This window comes from Homo sapiens, chromosome 15 (assembly GCF_000001405.40).
Source record: "Homo sapiens chromosome 15, GRCh38.p14 Primary Assembly".
Lineage (NCBI taxonomy): Eukaryota > Metazoa > Chordata > Mammalia > Primates > Hominidae > Homo > Homo sapiens.
Genome location: NC_000015.10, coordinates 65644897 through 65668305, shown reverse-complemented (window position 1 = coordinate 65668305; position 23409 = coordinate 65644897). Strand labels below are relative to the sequence as shown.

Here is a 23409-nt window from a genome sequence, read left to right as displayed (position 1 = left end):
GCCTAGGTGACAGAAGTTGCAGTGAGCTGAGATCACACCACTGCAGTCCAGCCTGGGTGACAGAGCAAGACTCTGTCTTAAAAAAAAAAAAAAAAGAGAGAGAGAGAGAGAACATGATCCTTGTTGATGAAGTAAAGTAAATCTAGACACTGATACACTTTCTTCTTTTTTCAATTCCCAAGCAAATCTAAACTGCAGGAAAATTTTTGCACCCGAAGTATTCAGATCCCTGCTAATAGATCAAAAACAGCTATGTCTAAATGTCCAATATTTCCAATGGCCAGGAGTATTAGTACTTCTGGCCCCTTGGATAAGGAAGATACTGGAAGACAGAAGCTCATTTCTACAGGCAGCCTGCCAGCTACTTTACAAGGAGCTACAGTATGTATTTTGGTGTATTTTTTTATTTGGAAATTGATCACTTACGTATGATTTTGTTCCCCTTGTCTTAAGTAGTCTTATTAGCTTTATTATTGCCAAGAAGAGTCTCTTATCCCATGATACAATTATATTACTTTTCTACTCATATGGGAATCATTGAATTTTTTAATGGCTTAGTATTATTTTGCATTTGCCATTTATGGTTTTTATTTATTCAACAGGATTCTTTAGGTTTAGAATGGCACCTTCCAAGTCCCGATCCTGTCACTGTTCCGTATCTTAGTCCTTTAGTGGTATGGAAAGAACTTGAAAGCTTATTGGAAAATGAAGGTGATCATGCAATAACAGTAGCAGACTTTGTGGACCATCATCCAATTGTTTTTTGGAACCTGGTATGGTATTTCAGACGTCTTGACTTGCCCAGTAACTTACCTGGATTGATTCTTTCTTCTGAGCACTGTAACAAGTATTCAAAGGTATGAGACTAAAAATTAAAAGGCAATGAATGCTTCTGTTACCATTGTAATGTTTGCATATTCCTAATGATTAAAAAGTAAGGTCTGTTTTTATGCTAAATTTATTTTATTTTATTTTTTGAGACGTAGTCTCACTCTTTCGCCAGGCTGGAGTGCAGTGGCACTATCTCGGCTCACTGCAGCCTCCAGCTACAGGGTTCAAGCAATTCTCCTGCCTCAGCCTCCCAAGTAGCTGGGATTGCAGGCACACACCACCACGCTCAGCTAATTTTTGTATTTTTAGTAGAGACGGGGTTTCACCATGTTGGCCAGGATGGTCTTGATTTCTTGACCTTATGATCCACCTGCCTCAGCCTCCCAAAGTGTTGGGATTACAGGCGTGAGCCACCGTGCCCAGCCTATGCTAAATATTTTTAATAGCCCTCTGGGTCATTAGATAAATAGAATTGTTTTAGTTGTATTTACAAATAATATTTTCTTCTTACAGGCTAGCAATAAGAGTCTTTTTTTTTTGCCTTCTCCTAAAATTTACATTAAACGTACTTGAATTTTTGCTATTGCTTCAAGAATAAACTGGAAATGACTCTTAGGAAGCAGATTTGTGAGTTAGGCCCACTTACATCTTGTACTTCTTTCAAAACAAGCCTAATTTTTTTTTTTTTTTTTTTTTGACACAAGGTCTCGCCCTGTCACCCAGACTGGAGTGCAGTGGTGTGGTCATGGCTCACTGTGACCTCTAACCCCTGGGCTCAAGTGACCCTCCTGTCTCAGCCTCCCAAAGTGCTGGGGTTATAGGCAGGAGCCACTGTGTCCAGCCCAAGCCTAACACTTTTTAAGGATATCTATACAGCAGTCCCTCCTTATTCATGGTTTTCCTTTCTGAGGTTTCAGTTACCCATGGTAACTGTGGTCTCAAAATATTAAGTGGAAACTTCCAGAAAGAAACACTTCATAAGTTTTAAATTGCATGCTGTTCTGAGTAGCATGATGAAATTTCGTGCTGTCCCATCTGGGATGTGAATCATCCCTTTGTTCGGTGTATCCACGCTGTGTATGCCACCTGCTTGTTAATCATTGAGTAGCCATCTCTGTTATCAGACCCACTGTGATGGTATCACAGTGCTTGTGTTCATGTAACTCCTGTTTTACTTAATGGCACAAAGCAGTGATGCTGGCATATTGTTTTAATTGTTCTATTTTATTATTAGTTATTGTTAATTTCTTTTTGTGCCTCATTTATAAATTAAATATCACAAGTATGTATGTATAGGAAAATACAGTATATATAGGGTTCGGTACTATCTGCAGTTATAGGTATCCATTGGAGGTCTTGGAATATAGCTGCTGAGGATAAAGGGGGACTATTGAAATTCATATTGCAATCATGTGCTACCACTCTCGTCATTCCTTTACCCTGGATTTTTGTTTAACATTTAGGCCATTTGTTTGTTATATGTTCATTTGTATTTTCGGTATGTTGTTTTATAAAAGTGTCTTTACTTTTTCATATACTGCCACTGCCACTAAATGGTGGTCTCTAAGTTCAGGAACCTTGCCTTCTCTCTTCTTGTGCTGCATGCCTATGATTGTGCATGTGCTTCGGATTTTCAGTACATCATACATGAGTGACAAAGATGTGAACTCAGCGTTATCTGGGCCAGGGTGTTGGATGATATAGGATGGGACTCCTGGATTTATCTTTCTGTGACTTTCAATCATGAGCAAGAGGAGCAAGATGAGTTCTTCTTGGTACCCTTTCTCACGGATCTCAAGTACTTTGTTATATCTGATCTTTAGAGATCATTAGCTTTTCCACACAGCCCATCTTCCTGTAGTAGATATCAAATGTAGATAAATCAGTCTTTTTCTGTTCTCTTTTCTGTCTCGCACATATACATCCTAAAAAATATTTATAAGAATTTTATAAAATACTTATGAAAAATTATCATGTAAGGATCATTAATGAATGTTTATTGTATAACACAGATTCCCCGCCACTGTATGTCTGAAGATAGCAAATATGTTTTAATACAAATGTTATGGGACAATATGAAGTTACATCAGGATCCGGGACAGCCCTTGTACATTCTCTGGAATGCACACAGTAAGTGCCATCATAGAATGCTGACTTTGTTCATATGAGAGTAATCTCTACTAGCTTTAAATAGCATAAACCAATGTATAACTGACTTTTATTTTACTGTACTACTTTTTGTCTTACAGGTCAAAGTCGTACTCTTTTGTTTGAGAGTGAGTGTTTGATTTTTTTAGTGCTACCTTCTATGGAGGTCTAAGGGTTTTTTTTTGTTTTTTGTTTTTTGTTTTGGTTTGGTTTTTTGAGGGGTGCTGTGTATGTGCTGGAGGGGTTGGTTGTGTTTTGCAGAATTCAGCTTTCAGCACATTGCTCATCCCAATTTCTTCTTTTTACTTATTTTTTATTTGTTTCCATCCCAGGCTGCTGATTTAGAATTTTCATCAGAGGCTGTATTAAGGGAAACAATATTCTTAGTTATTGTCTATTTAAGACCACAGAAAGCTTTAGACCTTTTTTTGTCATTATTTGTCTTATTTTTTGCTTTCTTCATTCTTGGATTCCTATTTCTTTATCTATTGCCCTTAATTTATTTTTAGTGCTTTGTAACTTAATATCTGTCAGTTGCTGCTTAATTTCTTTCTCCTTTCTACACAGAACATTTTCCTTCATCTGTTCTTTTGTTCGTTTACAGCCCAAAAATATCCAATGGTCCATTTATTGCAAAAAAGTGATAACTCATTTAACCAGGAACTGTTGAAAAGTATGGTAAAAAGCATTAAAATGAATGATGTCTATGGACCAATGAGTCAGATTTTAGAGACACTGAATAAGTGTCCACATTTTAAAAGACAGAGGTAAGTCCTTCTCTTAGACGAATATATTGTTCTCCTAGGCAGATTCATATTGTTTGCTTAGTAATTTGTTAGAATATCTCATGCTTATGATAGCATTAAATTTTTTATAGGGAACATATGGACTATATGGATACTAATATTTTCTCCATGACTTTTTCTCCCTAGGAGTTTATACAGAGAAATACTATTTCTCTCACTTGTGGCACTGGGAAGAGAAAACATTGATATAGGTAATTTAGCTTTATATCTAATATGTAATATTTATATATCATGGAATAGTTTTCAAAGTATTTTTATATTAGTAGTTATACTTTATTAGTAATATTAAATCTGTAATTATATAAAGGTAGATTAGTTGTTGCTAAGGACCAAGAGGTGGGGTGAATAGGGAGTGACTGCTAACTGGTATAAGGTTTCTTTTTGGTGAGATGAAAATGTTCTGGAATTAGGCAGTGGTGATAGTTGTACAATCTTGTGAATATACCAAAAAAACACTAAATTGTACACTTTAAGTTAGTGAATTGTATGGTATATGGATTATATTTCAATTTTTAAAAGTTAATCTGACAAGAAAAGGACTAGTCAGGAAAAATTATTTAATTGAAAGGAGCCGGGTGCGGTAGCTCATGTCTGTAATCCCAGCACTTTGGGAGGCCAAGGTGGGTGGATCGCTTGAGGCCAGGAGTTTGAGACCAGCCTGGGCAACATGGTGAAACCCCATTTCTACCAAAAAAAAAAAAAAGTTAGCCAGATGTGGTGGCACATGGCTGTAGTCCCAGCTACTTGGGAGGCTGAGGTGAAAGTATCATGTGAGCCTGGGCAGTCGAGGCTGCAGTGAGCCATGACGGTGCAGCTGCATGCCAGCTTGGGCTGTAGAGCAAGACCTTATCTGATAAAAAAAGAATCAACAGAAGGTGATTCTTTTCTAGAAGCTACTGTAATTACATCAGGGTAATGCTACCAGGGGCAGAGCTGGAAAAATCAATGGTACAGAATAGGGAGTCTAGAAATAAACATAAATATCTATGGGAATATAATATATAATAAAATCAGCCAGGTGCAGTGGTTCACGCCTGTAATCCCAACACTGTAGGAGGCCAAGGCGGGCAGATCATCTGAGGTCAGGAGTTCGAGGCAAGCCTGGCCAATATGGTGAAACCCCATCTCTACTAAAAATACAAAATTAGCCAGGCGTGGTGGCGCATGCCTGTAGTCCCAGCTACTCAGGCGCCTGAGGCAGGAGAATCACTTGAACCCAGGAGGCGGAGGCAGCAGTGAGCCGAGATTGTGCCACTGCACTCCAGCCTGCGCAACAAGAGTGAAACTCCGTCTAACCAAAAAAAAAAATAAAAAAAAAAAAATATATATATATATATATATATACACACACACACATATATATAAAAAATAAAATGTTAGGAAAGGTAGACTATTAAATGGCATTGGGATAGTCATTCTAGCCACTTGAGAAAGATGCCAGAACTTAACCAAAATCATGAATAGTGTTATTTGAGCTAGGCCTTTTAACTATGGTGAAACAGAGGATACCAAAAAGGATTATTCAGATCCTTGTTACCATCCCTTTATTCCCTACCTAATACAAGCCCAGACTGTAGTCAGATATTACTCTAGCCCTCTGCCAAAGGTGGGATTTCCTTGAATGTCTAAAAAATTCCGGACCTCCAAGCTAGAGAAGCTCACTTGCTCATGCACTTGACTCAACTCCAACAAGCCTTCATGGGTACCACTGTGGTACTGTTTCAGAGAGGAAAGATGTTCTTAGGTCCGTCACCTCCCCAAAGCAGAAAAATAGGATCTTAGTGACATTGTTATAATTCATACCCCATTTGGCTCTCTGAGGGGCAAATTTTTATCCAGTATGTGTTTAAAATAAGCAATAAGTTAGCATGATTTCTAGACTGAGAGAAACTTTTAGCAGAAGCTTGTAAACCTCTGTTGTCCCTTTTTGTCACATGTGGACTATCTTCTGGGGAAAAGGCACACAGACCTTGGTATAACGTCCTTAAAAATAAAAGTAACAGTCTGTTAGCTCCATCTGTTGCCATGTGGAAAAGGGAAAAAAAAATCATTACATGGTGATTTCAGATATTTGGATTATTTTCCCAGAGGTAGCCCATAATATAGGAAGTTAGGACACACAAACCAAAAAAAATTTCTGTTGAAGCAAAATTTAAATTTAAAAAATGAAACCATAAAAGGACTAGTGTAAAGAAAATATGGGCAAAAAAACTTTTTGTCAATCCTGGTGGGAAAAGGCTATTATTTATTTTTACTGTTTTTATTGAGTATGCAAAGCAAAGTACCAAAAAAGTGTGTGTGGTATTTGGTGGTTTTTAACATCTGTACCTGGTAAAATTAAAAATTGGCATTTTCAAACCTTTAAGTTTCACTGGTCTGTGCAATCCAGCTGTGGTCCTTTGGATAAAGAAATGTCCTAGCAATTCCTTCTTGGCCTCTAATGTTGTGTTTCTGTAGTATTATAGAAACTTGATAGTTTTCAACATCAGACCTAAATTTCTTTATTCTTTTATTTCTTTATCAATTTCTGCAGATGCTTTTGATAAAGAGTACAAGATGGCATACGATCGTCTCACACCTAGTCAAGTCAAGAGTACACACAACTGTGATAGACCACCAAGTACAGGGGTGATGGAATGTCGAAAAACCTTTGGAGAACCTTATCTTTAAGATGTATTTGTATGTGTAAACATTCAATGTATATTGTATAGTCAGTGTATAAAATAACACTTTTAGACTCTAAATATTTTTTCTTCAATTTTTGAAAATACAATTTGTAAATGGTTCAAAAGACTCAGACAGCTTATGTACAGAATGTTTGAAGAAGAGAATAGTGACAAGTGGGGAGAAAGCCACTTTGTTTCTCATTTCTTTTTTCTTCTTCTTTAACTCCCCTGTAATAGGAAATAAAGTATTTTTGTGATGAGGAAATCCCTAAACAAAATTAGTTGCCATAAAATATGACAACTGCTTTATGGTTTCTTTTGGAAGAGACAGATTGAAAAATCATGAATGGAATCTAAACAGAAATGTCAGATGAACGTATTTCCTGTTTTCATAGACTATTCAAATGTTTTGACCATGAAGTTGTATTATACATATTTTAAATTGTTTATAGTAAGTTGATATTTTTTTAATTTTTAAATTTAATATAGCAAACTTAAAATGAATTTAAACTTAAGCAAGCAAGCGTGTATTTTCCTTGTCTGCTGCTATTTGAAGTAATTAGTACAGCTGCAGATCTCTCTGTGTATATCTATCTATATATATATTTTTTATTACTTGGGAGAATGAATTTTAAAATGTCAGTGCTAGTGTCAAGTGTTGTCCTAGGATTGCATGTTAGTACCCCTAAGCCTGAGTGTGGGGAGTGAGTTATGCAAGGGTAGCGTGCACTGCCCAGACTGACTCATGGAGCCTTGTGCAAGGAGAGCCAGAGAGGTTCACTATACCATGACTCCAAAATTGTCTCTATTGCTAATAGATACGTATAGTATACAGGGAAAACAGCTTATAAATCCAAATATCAATTTAAATTTTAATATTCTACATGAAAACTTACATTGGGAAATATGCAGACAAGTGATTATATTCCAAATTTTACCCTTATTTTAATATCTAAAATATTGGGTATGATGCAAATTATACTATAGAATATTTATCTGAAATATGACTTACTGGGGTATTCTGTTAATACTATATATAAATATTCAGAATTTTTTTCAAAAGTAGAAAAATTCCCCTCTAAAAGTACAGCCAGATAGATTTTCATCCATATTGAGGAACTTAGCTTTTTCAACAAGCTTCAGAATCTGAAGTCTGTAGAATCTAAAATACAGAAATATCCAGAAATCAGACAATAAATTGAAAGTTTAGACATCATGAGTATTAAATAGCTTTAAAAATATATTTTTAGTCATATTATTTCTAATGTAACTTTCTTTGGGTAATTTCTGGTAAGGAAAAACATCTTTTGGCTGCTAGAATTAGTTATAGATTTTCAATATGTGTGTGTGTTTGCACACATTATCATTAGTGAAGGAATTCCCTAGCCAGCTTTAAAGAAGGAAAAAATGGATAGTCCCAAATTAGGTGTATAAAGCCAGTAGAGTCCACGACACTTGGACTGGAGGTATCTTGGAGTCCTGAGACTTAGAATCAGTTCAGCTGCAGAAAACCCACCTTTTGAGTTCACACCATTAGTGAATAGCACCATGCTGAAACATTTCACAGCTTCCAACTCTGGGAAATAATGGAGAGAGTTTAAAAATGTAAAACTTCAGTTAGTTTGGGGCTGAACTTGCTTACTTGAAAAATCTGGTGCTAGGCACATATATCTGCCTCTCCTTTGTAAATACCACTCCAATATTATTCTTTACTATTCAGATCCAAGCTTCATGTTCTACTTGTTCTTCATGTTCTTTAAATCATTTGAAAGTTGTCAACTGAGAGAAACATTTCAGAGGGGGGAGGCTTTTGGCACTGGTGATAAACATCCCTCCAAGAGAACCGTCTGGGGTTCTCTTCTATTTGTGGTTGGTGGTTTTTATTCTTTTAAAAACAGCTTTCATTGTTGTTTACTTTTTGTGTAATACAAACAAAATGTAGGAATCATAGTTTATTGATTTCAAATGGCTGACAAAGAATGAGTAAAACCATTCTTTATGGTTTTACGATTCAGACTCATTTGGAAAAGCGAATGTAATTTTTACCTCCTCTTTCCACCCCAAGTTTTGTTTCTGCTTTTGGAGAGGGTTGTATTTCCCCTACTTTTAATCCCTAGGGAATATTATTGCACAGATTTAGTCTTAAAACCTAAAACACAAATACAAAGTGGTAAACCTGTTCAAAAGAAAATTAAAATGTGAATCATTCTTGAGCTGGGCGTGGTTGCTCATGGAGGCCTGTAATCCCAGCACTTTGGGAGGCTGAAGCAGGGAGGATTGCTTGAGTCCAGGAGTTCAAAACCAGCCTGAGCAACATAGAGAGACCCTGTCTCTACAAAAAAATTTTTTAAATTTGCTCGGTATGGTGGCTCATGCTTGGTAATCCCAGCTACTCGGGAGGCTGAAGCAGGAGGATCACTTTGAGCCTGGGGGTTTGGGGCTGCAATGAGCTGTGATCATGCCATTGCACTCTAGCCTGGATTACAGAGCAAGACCCTGTCTCAAAAAAAAAAAAAAAAAAAAAAAAAAAAACCAGAAAATATCAATCATTTAAAATAACTCTATACAAACTTTTCTTCAATTTTCTGTTAACCATACATTTTGGAGAATAATGGCCAATCATGTTGGAGAGAAATGCCCTTTTGCTACAGCATCTGTCTTTTATTTTCTTACTCTTAGTTTTGTTTATATGTTTAAATGGTTGACAATAAACCATGTCCTGTGCTGATGTAGCTTGTTTACTACGTCCTACCATTATGTTCTAAATGGCACAGATTTGTATTCCATATCGTATTTCAAATATTCTACTTTTTCCTCCTAGTGTTAGGTGGAGAAATATGCAGCTGTTCATCTTCTGATTTTTGTCTTCTTTTCCCTGACTTTCTTGGGGGTTGGATTTCTGTTTTGCTCTAAAACCCTAACACTACCAGCATATTTAATTGTAAGGTTTTCTAGTATGTCTCCCCATTTGTGTATTTAGAGAAATGGTCCCAGAAAACATTGGTTCAACATTTTAGGCAGTAAATACTTATTTTTACTTTATGCTGATAATTACTATGATACTTAAGTGCAACCAGCAAGTATTAGCTAGCTCTATTTAGAAGTTATGCTTAATTTCTAAATACAGGCTGAGCTCCTGGAATCAAGTGCTCCAAAATCCAAAACTTTTTGAATACCGACATGATGCTCAAAGGAAATGCTCATTTGAGCATTTTGGATTTCATATTTGGGATGTTCAACCAGTTTGTATTTTTCAAATATTCCAAATTTCAAAAACATCTGAAATCCAAAACACTTCTGGTCCGAAACATTTCTGATAAGGGATACTCAACCTCTACTTTGTAATATGCGATATGAAAATACCTATTTGTTTGGTGATGTGCAGTAGCCCAGCTTTATTTTTATTTCTCTCACTAGAACTTGAAAGCTGCTATTTGGCACTTTATCTCAGAGCAAGAAGAGAAAGAGCAGGCTGTCTCTTTGAGAAGACCCTTGTCCTTCGTGCTAAAGTTAGCATGTGCTGCCTCTTCCTGTCTGGATATAAGACTAAGCTTTATTTCAAAACTGAACCCTCTAGCAGCTGCATACCAGTTTACCTTAATATCCTTAGTACTTGGTGTCTTAACATCCTCATACTACCTTGCTCCTTTGGCCTCAAAGTAAGCATATTGGCTGGCTTATATTTCTTAACAAAATTAGCAGTACACAAATTGAAGAATTTTCATCTTTGATTACAAAAGTCTGCGCATGTGCTTGTACTCTGAGATGGTAATAGATTCTTCTGATAAAGTTATTGCTGCCTTTCCACAGTTCCTGTTCATTTGGATGGCTCCCTCCTTTACTATTTAAATATTTTTTTTTCAAATGTAGTACTATGATAAAACTATTGCAGCAACTGGTGGATTTTCTGCAAGTGAAATTCTCCAGGTTTTGCTTGCTCATACAGCGAAGGACCTAAAGACCAGAAGTGTGCCTTTAGTTGTGCAGGCAGACTTGGGCCAGGATGTCCTGTAGGCGTTAGTGAACCCCCAGGGATAGGCAGCTCTGCTCATGAGCCCTCTCATTACATCTTTCATAGCATCCAGTCCCCGTACACATTGCAAGCTGCACCTGCTGGAGGACCCTCCCACCAAAAAAGGGTCAGAACCAAGAGTATTCATTGGCACATAAGGCCAACCAATTCTTCCTGATTATTTATTTTTTCTTTTTTTTTGAGACGGAGTCTCGCTGTTGCCCAGGCTGGAGTGCAGTGGCACGATCTCGGCTCACTGCAGGCTCCGCCCCCCGGGGTTCACGCCATTCTCCTGCCTCAGCCTCCCGAGTAGCTGGGACTATAGGCGCCTGCCACCTCGCCCGGCTAATTTTTGGTATTTTTTTAGTAGAGACGGGGTTTCACCGTGTTAGCCAGGATGGTCTCGATCTACTGACCTCGTGATCCGCCCACCTTGGCCTCCCAAAGTGCTGGGATTATAGGCATGAGCCACCGCGCCCGGCCCTTTTCCTGATTATTTACTATTCTGTGCTCTAGATAATACATTCCAATTCCTGCCCCCTTTGGTACTCAATCTTTAAATAATATTGATATAGACAGCTATAAAAGACTAAGCCTGTAATTTGGTAAAACTATTTTCGAATCTATTGATGACAGTGCAATATAATGTTCAAAATATATAGTAACCATTTTGGCTGGGTACAGTGGCTCATGCCTGTAATCTCAGCACTTTGGGAGGCCGAGGCGGGCAGATTGCCTGAGCTCAGGAGTTCGAGATCAGCCTGGGCAACATGGCAAAACCCTATCTCTACAAAAAAATACAAAAATCAGCTGGGTGTGGTGGTGCACTTCTGTAGTCCCAGCTACTTGGGGGGCTGAGGCGGGAGGATCGCTTGAGCCCACAAGGTGAGGCTACAGTGAGCCATGTTCATGTCACTGCACTCTAGCCTGGGTGACAGGGCAAGGCCCCGTCTCTTTTTAAAACAAAACAAAACAAAAAAACATTTAAACACATAGTTTGAAAAATTTGGAATACATCTCTTTTTTCTGGTACTATATAGACTCTTAACCCATTAAATGAGGAAGAATTCAGAAATCTGGCTCAAACCTATTATCAGGGCCTTCAAGGAAGTGCAGCCTAAGGGGGTAGAAGTCATCCATGTAGCCACTGACTTCCAATTCAAATACCCATTTGGGACAGTTCAGACTTTCCAGGCTGAATGAATGACCTAGAATTTGTCACAAGTAACTATATACAGAATATTCTGCCTATAAAGTGAGAGGACCATCTCAATATTATCTCGACATTTTTAAATGGTACTTTACCTCTAAAACAGCATGATTTTAATATTATAGTACGTTTGTAAATGTGTGACCAAAAAATTTAATTTCCAGGTATAACCAATTAGTCTTTTAAAAGTTACACAAGTTTTCCATCTCACCAAAGTAATCTCACTCTCTCCCCCAGTGAATTCCTACTCATTCATCAAGACTCAGCTTTCATTTTTTGTACTTGTCCTTTTCTGTAACACTGTAAAGTGATCAGAACTTCCTTTCTAGGCAAAGGGGTATGCCAGAAATTCAGCAAACTGGGAAAAGGATGTCAGATTATTAGAGTTGGTTTTAATCATTCAGTGGATATTTCAGCCTTTTATCATTACACAGCATTTTACGGTCCATCACTCCTTACTCCAGTCTGAGGAAGAACGTCAGATCCCAGGCTGTGGGTGAGGTGACATCCCCGAGGCTAACGGGAACGGGCTGCAGACACCAGGTTAGTGCCCAGAATTTTGGTATTGGGACCTCCCTCCCACAAGCATTGCCTTCTCCTCCTGTTCTTAGGCCTTGGCTATGGAAACCCAGCAATGCAGTAGCATCAGGAATAAGGATAATTAAGAATATAGAATTGGAACATGATTCCATACTCTTCATCAGTCTTCTCGGGAGGATTCTGACCAAATGACCTAAAGATAAGGATGAGCCCATCCATGTTGTAAAGTAAAATACCATTGGGATTCACAGTTTATTGAAATTTAATAAAAATTATTTCCAAAGAATGAGAATCCTGGGGTAGCGAGGCAATTAATTAAGCAATTCATCTTAAAAGATGGAATACTTGGAACACCTTAGCCATCATTCAATGCCAAAATGTTTGGGTTTTTTTCATATCACATCCGTCCTATCTTTTCATCTTCAGTGAATCATTCCTCATGTTTGTAATTAAAGCCATATTTACCATCATAATCTGCAGTCACCCGAGCTCATTTTGCTCTGAAGCCAGTGATATTAAGCTGTTCTATTTCTAACGTGTCCCTTAACTTGATTCTAGTAAAAGCAGCAAGCAGTGGTATTTAATATACAAACTCATCAAATTCCACATAAAACATTTAACCACAGTTTTAAAAACTCAAGTGTCCTTTACACTAGCTACCTTGGAAGTAGTACTGCACTTTTCTCACCATGTTGTCATTGTGTTATGCATTCTTGGAATTTCCCTTTTGTAATTACCTTAAGATCCATTCATAAACCACAGAAGAAATCAGTCTTGCTTTATAATCCTATCTAGGTTGGCATACAAAAATAGCATTGTCCCACTGGATCTCTTACTTTATAAACCAGATGTGGCGCTACTGACTTTGGACTCTTTAGAATGACTTCCCTTCCCACTCCACTCAACTGTCATTGTTGGGTGAGAACATGCTGGAGGGTGGAGCCAGGACATTCCATTAGAATGTCTAATCCCTCAAGGTGACCACTGATGGAGACAACATGAATTTGCATGTTCTAATAAATACATACTTTTAAATGGCCTCTAGAGTAGTTTTCCTTCCCTAATCTCCATTCCTTCCAATTCAAGGGCAAATTATAAATTTTTATTTTTCAGGCTGCTTTTTAAATTTCACTTTTCAGAAACACAACAATAAGAGTTAATGTAGTCCTCCTTTAAACTAGAAAATACTGGTATAGGCCAGGCGCGGTGGCTGACGCCTGTAATCCCAGCACTTTGGGAGGCCGAGGCGGGCAGATCACGACTTCAGGCTGAGGCAGGAGAATTGCTTGAACCGGGGAGGTGAAGGTTGTGGTGTGCCGAGATCACGCCATTGCACACCAGCCTGGGCAACAAGAGCCAAACTCTGTCTCAAAAAAAAAAAAAAAGAAAATACTGGTATATATCCAGATGCAGTGGGCTACAAAACGTGGAATGATCATTAATTCCTGTTATATTTCTTTTTTTTCTGTAGCCTTGGATCCTTAGACTCACCAATAACTGAAGCTACAGTGATTACAAACCTGATAGAACCTCACAATTTGAACAGAAAAGGAGGAGACAAAATTGCAGCGTGTGTTTGGGGCAGAGGTCAGGAAGGCTGAGATGTAGACCACATCTGCATCTTTTGGGCCAGCAGCCTTTGGAATGATCAGGGAACAGTGAGCGTAGGAGCTTGTCTTATAGCTGCTGCGCCTATCCCAACCTTTGCCCCCAGTTATCTCATTTAGAAAACCCTCTGGCTCCAGGGGTCCTTCTACTGCCTCCATGTAATAGATGTCTGCATGAGTCAGGGGTAGAAACTCCACCCCTCCAGGGGTGAGGTTCTTAATCCACAATGAGCTGCAGGTGTTTCCAAGGACAAACTTTAGTCTCAGATCACATTCATATCAGAGGTCCTAGGTCACCCAGTTCACTTTCCAGGATCATATACATTCTTTCATTAGGGTCACAAGAGATACAGTAACTTCTGCATGGTCTTCTGATCCATGCCCATTGTGAGCAAGAGTGACTGATTCAGACAGATACAGGACAGGATATGATTCGATCTTCTAACATCACACTGATTATCAGGAATACAAAGTAAAGGAGGAACATTGTGAAGCCCAGGATCTTGTTCATTCTCCATTTACATGACGCAATTGAAGAGATCACAAACAGAAGCATGAGAAAAAGCAAAACAATTGCACAAAACAAGCCATTGCTGCTGACTGGAACTGGCTGTAATCCATTGATAAGAGAGAAAAGCAACCAAGGAACAGGCAAGCTGCAAGATTGAAGAAACGATGTGAATATCCTTAATGTTTATAATAATCCCATACACTTAAATAGTAGTTTATACTTTACAAAGTATTTTTCCACCAATAAAATATCTATGAAGTGAACAGAAATTATTAGCCCCATTTCACAGACAAGGAAATTAAGTTTCAGGGAAATTAAATTACTTGCCCAAGGACTCATTAATAACTAGAAGAGCTTAGGTTAAAACTGAAGTATTCTGAGTCTGAGCTTTGTTTTTATTTTCTGCATACTTCATGACTTCTATATGACTCAGATCAGTTGATGTGTGCCTTTTTTTTTTTTTTTAAATGCTGGAATTACAGGCACACTTCACCACACCCAGCCCCAATGTGATATGTACTCTTAAATCTCTACATTTTGATAAGGCCTACATTTCTTTTAATTCTTTAGTGATGAGGGCTGCCTTTTTAGCTGCCCCTCACCCCAAATACACATACACAAATTCAAATTTAAGGAAACAAATCTACCACCCAAATTCAGAACATGATTGGGGAAATGAAAATAGCCCCTGTTTCTGACAAGGTTGGGAGAATGGAGTAAGAGGATGGGTACAGGAGGATAAGGCATTTGCGTGTTATACAAAATGCTGTTTAGAGTCTCTGAGCTAGCAGGAGTTCACATACAAAGGAGCAAGAGTAGTACCAAGAAGTGAAGTTGAGTCATTGCTCCTTCCAATCCTACCTCCACCGCCTTGAAAGTCAGTGAGCAGAGCATTTGACGGTATTTGGTAATGGAATGAAATGGACTTTGGTTTTCAATTTATCTGTAAATTCCAGTCAGTTACATTTCAGGCAGCATTTTAGGTCTATTATCCCATCTGGCTATGATGAATGAAGGGAAGATATTTTGTTGCTTTGCAGAAACTAACAATATAAATGCCCTTTTATTCTATGTATAATGAATAAAGCAGAAAACCAGTGAACAGAGCCAATGCAGTGTTTTCCAGTCATACTTAACACCCCTTAGAAAGTTACATTGCCACTCACCCCACAGTGATATCAAATATGTTACTGCCCACAGAGCTTGACACAGCCATGTCTCCCAGGCCTTTTCGAGCGACAATCACACTGGTGATGAGGTCAGGAATTGATGTGCCTGCTGCAAGGATTGTCAGGCCCATGATCTCTTCAGAAATCCCTATTGTTTCACCAACCTGGTAAACGGCAACGGTCAACAGTAGGTGAAAAACCTGAGGCACATCCAAGCACTATCCACATCCTACTTTGTGCAAACAGACTGCCTTCTAAGGAGCTCAGCCACACCCCCTCAGCCTGAGTGAGGAAGGGTGATAGGGGGACCGACAGCTGAGATGGCCACAGAGAGGAAGAGCAAGCAAGACTCCTGCTCCTGGCCACAGGGACCATGTTGCTCTTCTTTTCACAATTGGACTAAAAGTTACCTACACCAGATCTGCTGCTCACTGTCATTCCAACTCTTAACACCCCTACCTCCCCACAAGAACTGCCCTTCCAAAGAGCTGTTCATGTCAGCATTTCTATTTCCAGGAATGTGGACACTTGCTGTGTGCCAGGAACTAAGAGGCTGGAGGTGAAGTATGAGCAGGATGACATAGACCCTAATCTCGGCCTTTTAGAGAGGAAAGCTAGTAAACAATTATTACAGTTCAGTATTCCAGGCAGAACAGAAACACTATAGGTACTCAGAGGAAGACTAATTGAATGCCAGAGAGCAGGCGAAAAAAGCTGGCTCTCAGAATGCGTAGGATTTCACCAGGTGAGAGGGATGGGTACATGGCAGAGAAAGCAGGAAATAAGGCTAATAAGCCAAGTTCAGCTGGAATCAGGCAGGATTCCAAGGCCTTCTATGCCATGCTACAGGATATGACAGAAAAGCCACACTTGAGAAGCACTGCGTTCACTGGAATAAAAAGTCTACTTTTAAGCCTTTACAAACAACATAGAAACTGCACGAATTCACTTGATCCTCGAGATTCCCTGAGTACCGGAGATTGATCCTGAAGGAAAGTGTCGTTGGGACCTGCTGGTAGAGGATTTCGTTCCTGCTGTTCACTCACCTGGTGAGCCCACCACACCATGAGGTATGAGAACATGGCTATCCACATGATAGATCCCAGGAAGGTGAAAACAAAAAACTTCCTAGACTCCTGTTTGAAAGTTTGAAAAGGACAAGAAGTAAGCTGTAGAGGTTAAAAGGTCTTTGGCCCTTCTGAGCAAGCCCAACAATCAGTGACAAGGTCTAATGGAAGAGTGATGGAGGCAAAATGGAGACATTTGACCTGAGAGCTCTCTCTCCAGGGAGGACCTTGAGATGGATGGAAAAGGATGGAGGTTGGGGGTACACCTGTAGGGGAGTCCAGCCAGTAGGGTGGACAGCAGTCACCAGATGGAAGAAAGCTGTTTGCTTGCCCTAGAACCAGGCCAATCTAGGTATCTGGTTTGGCTTTTGCAACCTCCTTGTACCATTCCTTTCTGGTCAGACCTTTCCTTGCAAATAAGAATGTTGGGTATAAATACTAGTGATTTCCCTGGGTTTTGGGAATACTCCTGTGAAATATGCAGGAGGTTTAGTGGTATCATTCTCAAATTAAAATCAAGAAACTGAGATAGGAGTCAAAGAGGGACTAGTGTATGCTGCTTATAGCAGTGGGAATAAAGCGCATGAGATCTAGGGCCTCCCAGTCCCAGTGGTATGTCCCCTAAGCACATAGTCCCCCTCCAAGGCTTCAGTCCCTTCCCAGATCTCAATGGTGGAGCCCTGATAAGCTGGTTGTCCCTGGCCTCTTCCTCCTCTTGAGTGTGAGCCCCGCATGCCGAGAGACCCCACAGCCCTGCTGGGGATAAAGAGTCTGAGATACAGATGGGCACACTCACCTGCCTTCGGACGTCGGGGACTGTCAGCCACAGTGGGAACACGATGGGCAGAAGGAAGAGGTAAATGGCCTGCTTCTGCCTGGTTTCAGGCCAGTCCAGGGACAGAGGCTCTTCATTTCCCTTCTCCTCCTCTTCCTCCTCCTCCTCCTCCTCTTCCTCCTGCTCTTCCTCCTCCTCCTCTTCCTCCTGCTCTTCCTCCTCCTCTTCCTCCTCTTCGCTATCCCCTCCATCACTTCCCCCTCCATCTTCTACACCTTTCTCATCATTTTTGGCTTCACCGTGATTTTCAGCACTGAGTTCCTGGCTTTCAGTTTCACCTTCATTACCTTTCATTTCACCATCTTCTGCGTGGATTTCACCCTCATCTTCACCTTCATTGTCTCCTTTTCCTTCTGCTTCATTTTCATCTTCACATTCTTCTCCTTTTCCTTGTGTTTCAGTTTCACCTTCACCTTCTGGTTGAGTTTCACCTCCACTTTTCTCTTCAGTTTCACCTTCACCAGCAGTTTCGCCCTCTTCGCCTGGCATTTCACCTGTGCTCTCGGCCTCAGCCACATCTTCCTGCAATCCAAAACCAACAGATTAATGTGTGGTAACTGCTCTGCTTGTTTTCCTTATGTTACTCCCCCATTTTTTTGTTGGCGTGCTTCTCAGAAGGTATCTGAAAACTTAAGTATGAGGAGAAAACTAGTGCGATAATTCAGCAGAATTCCCATGACCACACTCCTACCTAGTGGCTGTCCAGCTTTTATTTGATCATTTCCAGGGGTGGAAAGCTCACCACCTGAAGCAGCTTCTGTCATCTTTGGCACCTCTGATTCATCTGAAGTCCATATTTATATCAAAGTTCTACCCCCATGTATAGGTTTACTCTTTGATGCCTTACAAAACATCAGTCTTCCATGAGACAGCTCTCTTCCCTGGGTTAAAGATTCCCAGGTCCTTATATCATTTCTACATGCTATGGCCTAGAGCCTCCTCCCTATCCTGGTGAACTCATTTTAATTAGCTTATATCCCAGGAGGAGGGCATCCAAAACTGAATACAGAATATTGCATGGAGTGGAACAGGACTATCACCTCCCTTGTCTTAGATACAATGTTTCCATTAATGTTGCTTAATATGGCATGACATCCTTTGGTGGTCACAATGCATTGCTGAGTCTACTAAAACTCCTAAATTGTTTTATTACCTTATATCTACAAAATAAGGATGATAATGCCTATTTATTGAGGGTTTTTATGTGCCAGGCACCATGGGAAGTAGTTTAATAATAATAGCTAGCACTTACGGTGTTTTATGAATCAATTAATTCATGATATGGATAAAACTATGCCCATCTTACAGATGGAGAAACTAGAGTAAAAGGAACTAAGTAACTTGCCCATGGTCCACGTGGTTTATAAGTGATGAAGTTGGGATTTGAATATGGGTGGTCCACCAAGCTATCCTGCTTTACCAATCAATACCAGGTAAAGGGCCAAATGAGATGTCTGGCTCCCAAACTTGGTAGCCTGAGGAGCTTATTAGAAATTCAGATTTTTAGGCTGGGCACGGTGGCTCATGCCTGTAATCCTAGCACTTTGGGAGGCTGAGGTGGGCGGATCACAAGGTCAGGAGTTTGAGACCAGCCTGGCCAACATGGTGAAACCCTGTCTCTACTAAAAATACAAAAATTAGCTGGGCGCGGTGGCAGGCGCCTGTAATCCTAGCTACTCAGGAGGCTGAGGCAGAATTGTTTGAACCTGGGTGGTAGAAGTTGCAGTGAGCTGAGATTGTGTCACGCACTCCAGCCTGGGTGACAGAGCAAGACTCTGTCTCAAAGAGAAAAAAGAAATACAGATTTTCTGACCCCACCTGGACCAACTGAATTAGAATCTTTAGAATTGGAAGCCAGGAATCTGTATTTTAACATACTCACAGCTGTTCCTAAAACATCCACCTTTAGACCAGTGTTTGGGAACCACTGACTATCTCCACACACCCTAAAAGCCATTGATAGCTGGGTGTGGTCTCAGACATAGATGCCTATGTTTCAACTACTCAGGCAGCTGAGGCAGTAGGATCGCTAGAGCCCAGGAGTTCCAGGCCAGCCTGGGCAATATAGTGAGACCCCATACCCCTGTAAAAAATTTAAGAGATAGGCTGGGCACGGTGGCTCACACCTGTAATCTCAGCACTTTGGGAGGCTGAGTCGGGCGGATCATGAGGTCAGGAGTTTGAGACCAGCCTGACTAAAGTGGTGAAACCCCATATCTACTTAAAAAAAATAAATAAATAAAAATTAGCCAGGCGTGGTGGTGCATGCCTGTAAGTGCCTGTAATTCCAGCTCATCAGGAGGCTGAGGCTGGAGAATTGCTTGAACCCGGGAGGCAGAGGTTGCAGTGAGCTGAGATCGTGTCACTGCACTCCAGCCTAGGCGACAGAGCAAGACTCAGTCTCAAAAAAAAAAAAGAGATAAAATTAAAAGCCATTGATTCAGAGTGTCCTCAGATTAGGCAACCAGCTAACCTGTAGCAATATGCTGGTCCATCCCTTGAGCAAGAGCCCTGGGCTGTGTGTTCATGGAGTAAATATGTTGTCTGTAACAAATGTCATGATATTGGCAACCCCCAAAGGATGTTGAGTGAGTCTCAATTGTGCTGCACATTAAAATCACCTGAAGGCTTTTTTTTTTGTTTTGAGGCGGAGTCTTGCTCTGTCGCCCAGGCTGGAGTGCAGTGGCACCATCTGGGCTCACTGCAAGCTCCGCCTCCCGGGTTCACGCCATTCTCTCACCTCAGCATCCCGAGTAGCTGGGATTACAGGCATGTGCCACCACACCTGGCTAATTTTTTGTAGTTTTAGTAGAGACGGGGTTTCACCGTGTTAGCCAGGATGGTCTCGATCTCCTGAGCTCGTGATCCGCCCGCCTCGGCCTCCCAAAGTGCTGGGATTACAGGCGTGAGCCACCGCACCCGGCCCTGAAGGCTTTTTAAACCATTGATGCCCAAGGACCCACCCCAGATATTCTGACTTCATTGGTTGAGGGTGGGGCCTGGTCATTTTTTTTACTTCCCCAAATTATTCTAATATGCAACCAGGGTTGAGAACCCCCAATGAAGACAACAAATACTACTGATGAGGCCTGCAGTTTGAACTGAGAATGAGGATTGAGAAGATTTTCGTCTGAAATCATTCCTGCCCTCTCCTGTCTACCCCCATCAGGTAGAGAATGCTTCCCAGAGGAGATGACAAGTCATTTAAACCCATAAATATGGGAGCGTCTGTCTGTTCTGCACCCTCTACTCTGAAGACTGTCACTCCTAATAGCCCCAGCTGAGCAAGTAGCTTCCACTTCCTGTGTTGGAGTCAAGTCAGCCAGCCACAACCAGTTGGATGCAAGCTGGATTCTTGACCAAGGAGCTGGGTTGAACCGATTCTTTCTCTCTCTGTCTCTCTCTTTTTTTTTTTTTTTTTTTTTTTTGAGACAGTCTCTCTCTGTCACCCAGGCTGGAGTGTAGTGGTGCGACTTCTGCTCACTGCAGTCTCCGCCTCCACAGTTCAAGTGATTCTCCTGCCTCAGCCTCCCAAGTAGCTGGGATTACAGGCACGCACCACCACACCCGGCTAATTTTTGTATTTTTAGTAGAGATGGGGTTTCACCATGTTGGCCAGGCTGGTCTCAAACTCCTGACCTCAAGTGATCCTCCTGCCTCGGCCTCCCAAAGTGCAGGGATTACAGGTGTGAGCCACAACACCCGGCCCGATTCTCTCTCTTTTAAGACTGGAAACCAGTCACTGATTCTCCTGTGGATGCAGGATTGGGATTGTAGCTTGGGGTTATATGTGTGCTCATAAGGGAACAAATGAAGCCAGCCTGCCAAGAGAGGCCCATGATAGAGCCTGTACTCAGAGAAGGAATGTGAGGGAGAGCAGGACATGGAATGAGAAGCCACCAGGGTCACAGATGCCTTCTCAGGCCTAGGCCCAGCTCTTCATGAGATCAAGCTTCACTTCCTGCCCTGGGATTCCAGGGAATACCTCTGTATCCTCTTAATCCTTTTTACTTGAGCTAGCGGTAATAGACCTACTCATGTTACCATGAAGCTGTCTTAGACGCTGAACCCAAAGTTGCTGGCTTAAGGATGAGATATAATCAAGCGTTTTCTGGGTATTGAATGGAGAGAAAAAAAGAGATGGAACTTGCAAATGGAATGTTTTTTACTGTCAGTCACTCAACATATATTGAGCCAGCTGTGCACCAGGCATTCTGCTTCCCTCTGTAGGGGAGACAGGGATGACTCAGACTTCGATCTTGCCTTCAGGAACCTCACCACCTAGCAGGCTCAGAATCCAAGGAAGACAGTTGGTAAAAGCCCTGGGATAGGTGCAGAGCACCAGGGGCATTCAGATTTGGAGTGGTTCAAGGCAGCTACATGACAAAGGTGTTTATACTGGCCAGGGGCTGGGGAGGGGGGTGGGGTGCATGGTAAGATGAGGATATATGAAAATGGAGGAGAAAAGGCATTCTAGGGAGAGAAAACCATGTGAGCCAAGGCTGGGAGGTAGAAAAACATGGAGACGGCCGGGCGTGGTGGCTCATGCCTATAATCCCAGCACTTTGGGAGGCCAAGGTGGGTGGATCACAAGGTCAGGAGATCAAGACCATCCTGGCCAACATGTTGAAACCCCGTCTCTACTAAAAATACAAAAATAAAAATAAAAAAAAGAAAAACATGGAGACAAGAAATCCAGTTTGGCTGGAGCATGGTAGAAGAAGAGACCATGAGGCTGTAAAGACGGGGCAGTATCAGGACTTGGAAAGCTCTGCAGACAAGGCTGAGATGCCTGACCAGGTGCAGTAGGCAATGAGGAGCCTCAGAAGGTTGGAAAGCCTTCACCCAGCATCCCTCCCACCTGCATTTCAAGCTTCCCAGTGCTCAGGAGCTACCTGGTCTCACTGTCACCTAGTTGCTGACAGACCCACTAACAATTATTCCTTATGTTCTTATAGCATGTGACAGTTCACAATACATTGTCAATATGTTAGCTCACTCATGTAAGATGTTCCAGTGAGTTAATTGGCCCCATGAGATACTTGTATTTTTCAAGTGATCTTCAGAGAAAGGGTAATATTTACCCCCAGAGGAATGAACCTCAAATAGGATTTCAGACCTTCAGGGAGGATGTATTTTTGGTCAAGAGTTCCTTCCCTAGACCTCTCCAATTTTGTCTGTGCCAAGGCTGGGTGCCTACCTGACCGCCTGGATTCTCCTTCTGATCTCCCTTGATGTCTGGAACAGGGGCTGGTGTGACCGTGACCGCAGGGAGCTTGGCTGGCTCCTCCTCTTTAAAGGATAAACATGGGTTACATCAGAAGAGTGGACAAGGTTCTGAAGGAAGCTGGCAGAGACACTGGCATAAGTGGCTACAGGGCTATTGGACTTCAGGGTTTCTGAAGGTTTATTTGGGGGAATTTCTTGTTGGTAGGAAAAGTAAGATGATGTGAATTGTTATTGCCCTGACCTATCTGCAGATGAGAAGACAGTTGGCAAGTGACCATCCGTGCTCCCCTATAATTCACAGACATATCCATCCTGGCCATTGTGGCCAAAGACACTGTCAACAGCTGGGCAGTCAGAACAGAGAGAGGGCAAAGCTCCCAGCACTCAGAGAATGACCCTTTGGGAAGGATCCTGCTGATTCCAAAGGCAGCAGCTTTTGAAGCCTTGGAACAGGACTGACGGGAAGGGAAACTTGGAAAGTCTGGAGAGCTAGGTTTAGGTACAGGTTCTCTCACTTCTTGGCTGTGTGGCTTTGGGAAGTCACTTGACCTCTCTGAGACTCTTGTCTATAGGATGGGAAGAATGACTGCTGTTCCACCTCCATCCAGGGGTTGCTGGGTGGATCAGGCAGTCCTGGTGTGCTGTGCAGAGCCCACATGGCAGTGGCTGTCCCACTTTCTCAGTCCTAGCTGCCACACAGATACTAGACTTCTGTGACACCAGACCCCTGGTAGCCTTCCCTCACTGGGGTTGCTGATTTCAGACCAATAACTAGCAA

The 23409-nt window shown here is 41.3% G+C and overlaps 2 protein-coding genes across 56 annotated transcripts in view, besides 1 other annotated feature; one reads left to right on the top strand and one right to left on the bottom strand.

The window, feature by feature from the left end:
- The window catches only part of DENND4A (DENN domain containing 4A), a 133171-nt gene extending 123988 nt beyond the window's left edge, over window positions 1-9183 (top strand). For 13 of the 26 annotated variants that reach the window (XM_047432100.1, XM_047432091.1, XM_047432087.1 and 10 more), the window contains 7 exons: window positions 183-381; window positions 603-857; window positions 2844-2961; window positions 3081-3107; window positions 3584-3746; window positions 3912-3976; window positions 6319-9183. In XM_047432100.1, coding sequence (XP_047288056.1) covers window positions 183-381; window positions 603-857; window positions 2844-2961; window positions 3081-3107; window positions 3584-3746; window positions 3912-3976; window positions 6319-6455 — 964 coding nt within the window. In that variant the 3' untranslated portion in view covers window positions 6456-9183. The remainder of the gene's footprint in view (window positions 1-182; window positions 382-602; window positions 858-2843; window positions 2962-3080; window positions 3108-3583; window positions 3747-3911; window positions 3977-6318) is intronic. The other 13 variants (NM_001376920.1, XM_047432097.1, XM_005254120.6 and 10 more) reach the window with 1 other exon arrangement.
- SLC24A1 (solute carrier family 24 member 1) overlaps window positions 7304-23409 on the bottom strand; it is a 49653-nt gene continuing 33547 nt past the window's right edge. For 9 of the 30 annotated variants that reach the window (XM_024450103.2, XM_011522219.2, XM_024450105.2 and 6 more), the window contains 5 exons: window positions 22603-22694; window positions 17364-17924; window positions 16547-16636; window positions 15498-15664; window positions 12046-14476 (listed from right to left, as the gene is read on the bottom strand). In XM_024450103.2, the coding sequence (XP_024305871.1) occupies window positions 14227-14476; window positions 15498-15664; window positions 16547-16636; window positions 17364-17924; window positions 22603-22694 (1160 nt within the window). In that variant the 3' untranslated portion in view covers window positions 12046-14226. Of the gene's footprint in view, window positions 14477-15497; window positions 15665-16546; window positions 16637-17363; window positions 17925-22602; window positions 22695-23409 lie in introns of those variants that run through there. The other 21 variants (XM_011522221.4, XM_047433327.1, NM_001301031.1 and 18 more) reach the window with 12 other exon arrangements.
- Window positions 17221-17406: a silencer, noted in NCBI's record as "fragment chr15:65943238-65943423 (GRCh37/hg19 assembly coordinates)". NCBI's record gives its function as "represses an EF-1alpha promoter that drives an FKBP-Casp9 reporter gene in an ReSE screen in HepG2 liver carcinoma cells {active_cell/tissue: HepG2}" and the evidence as "EXISTENCE:reporter gene assay evidence [ECO:0000049][PMID:32094911]".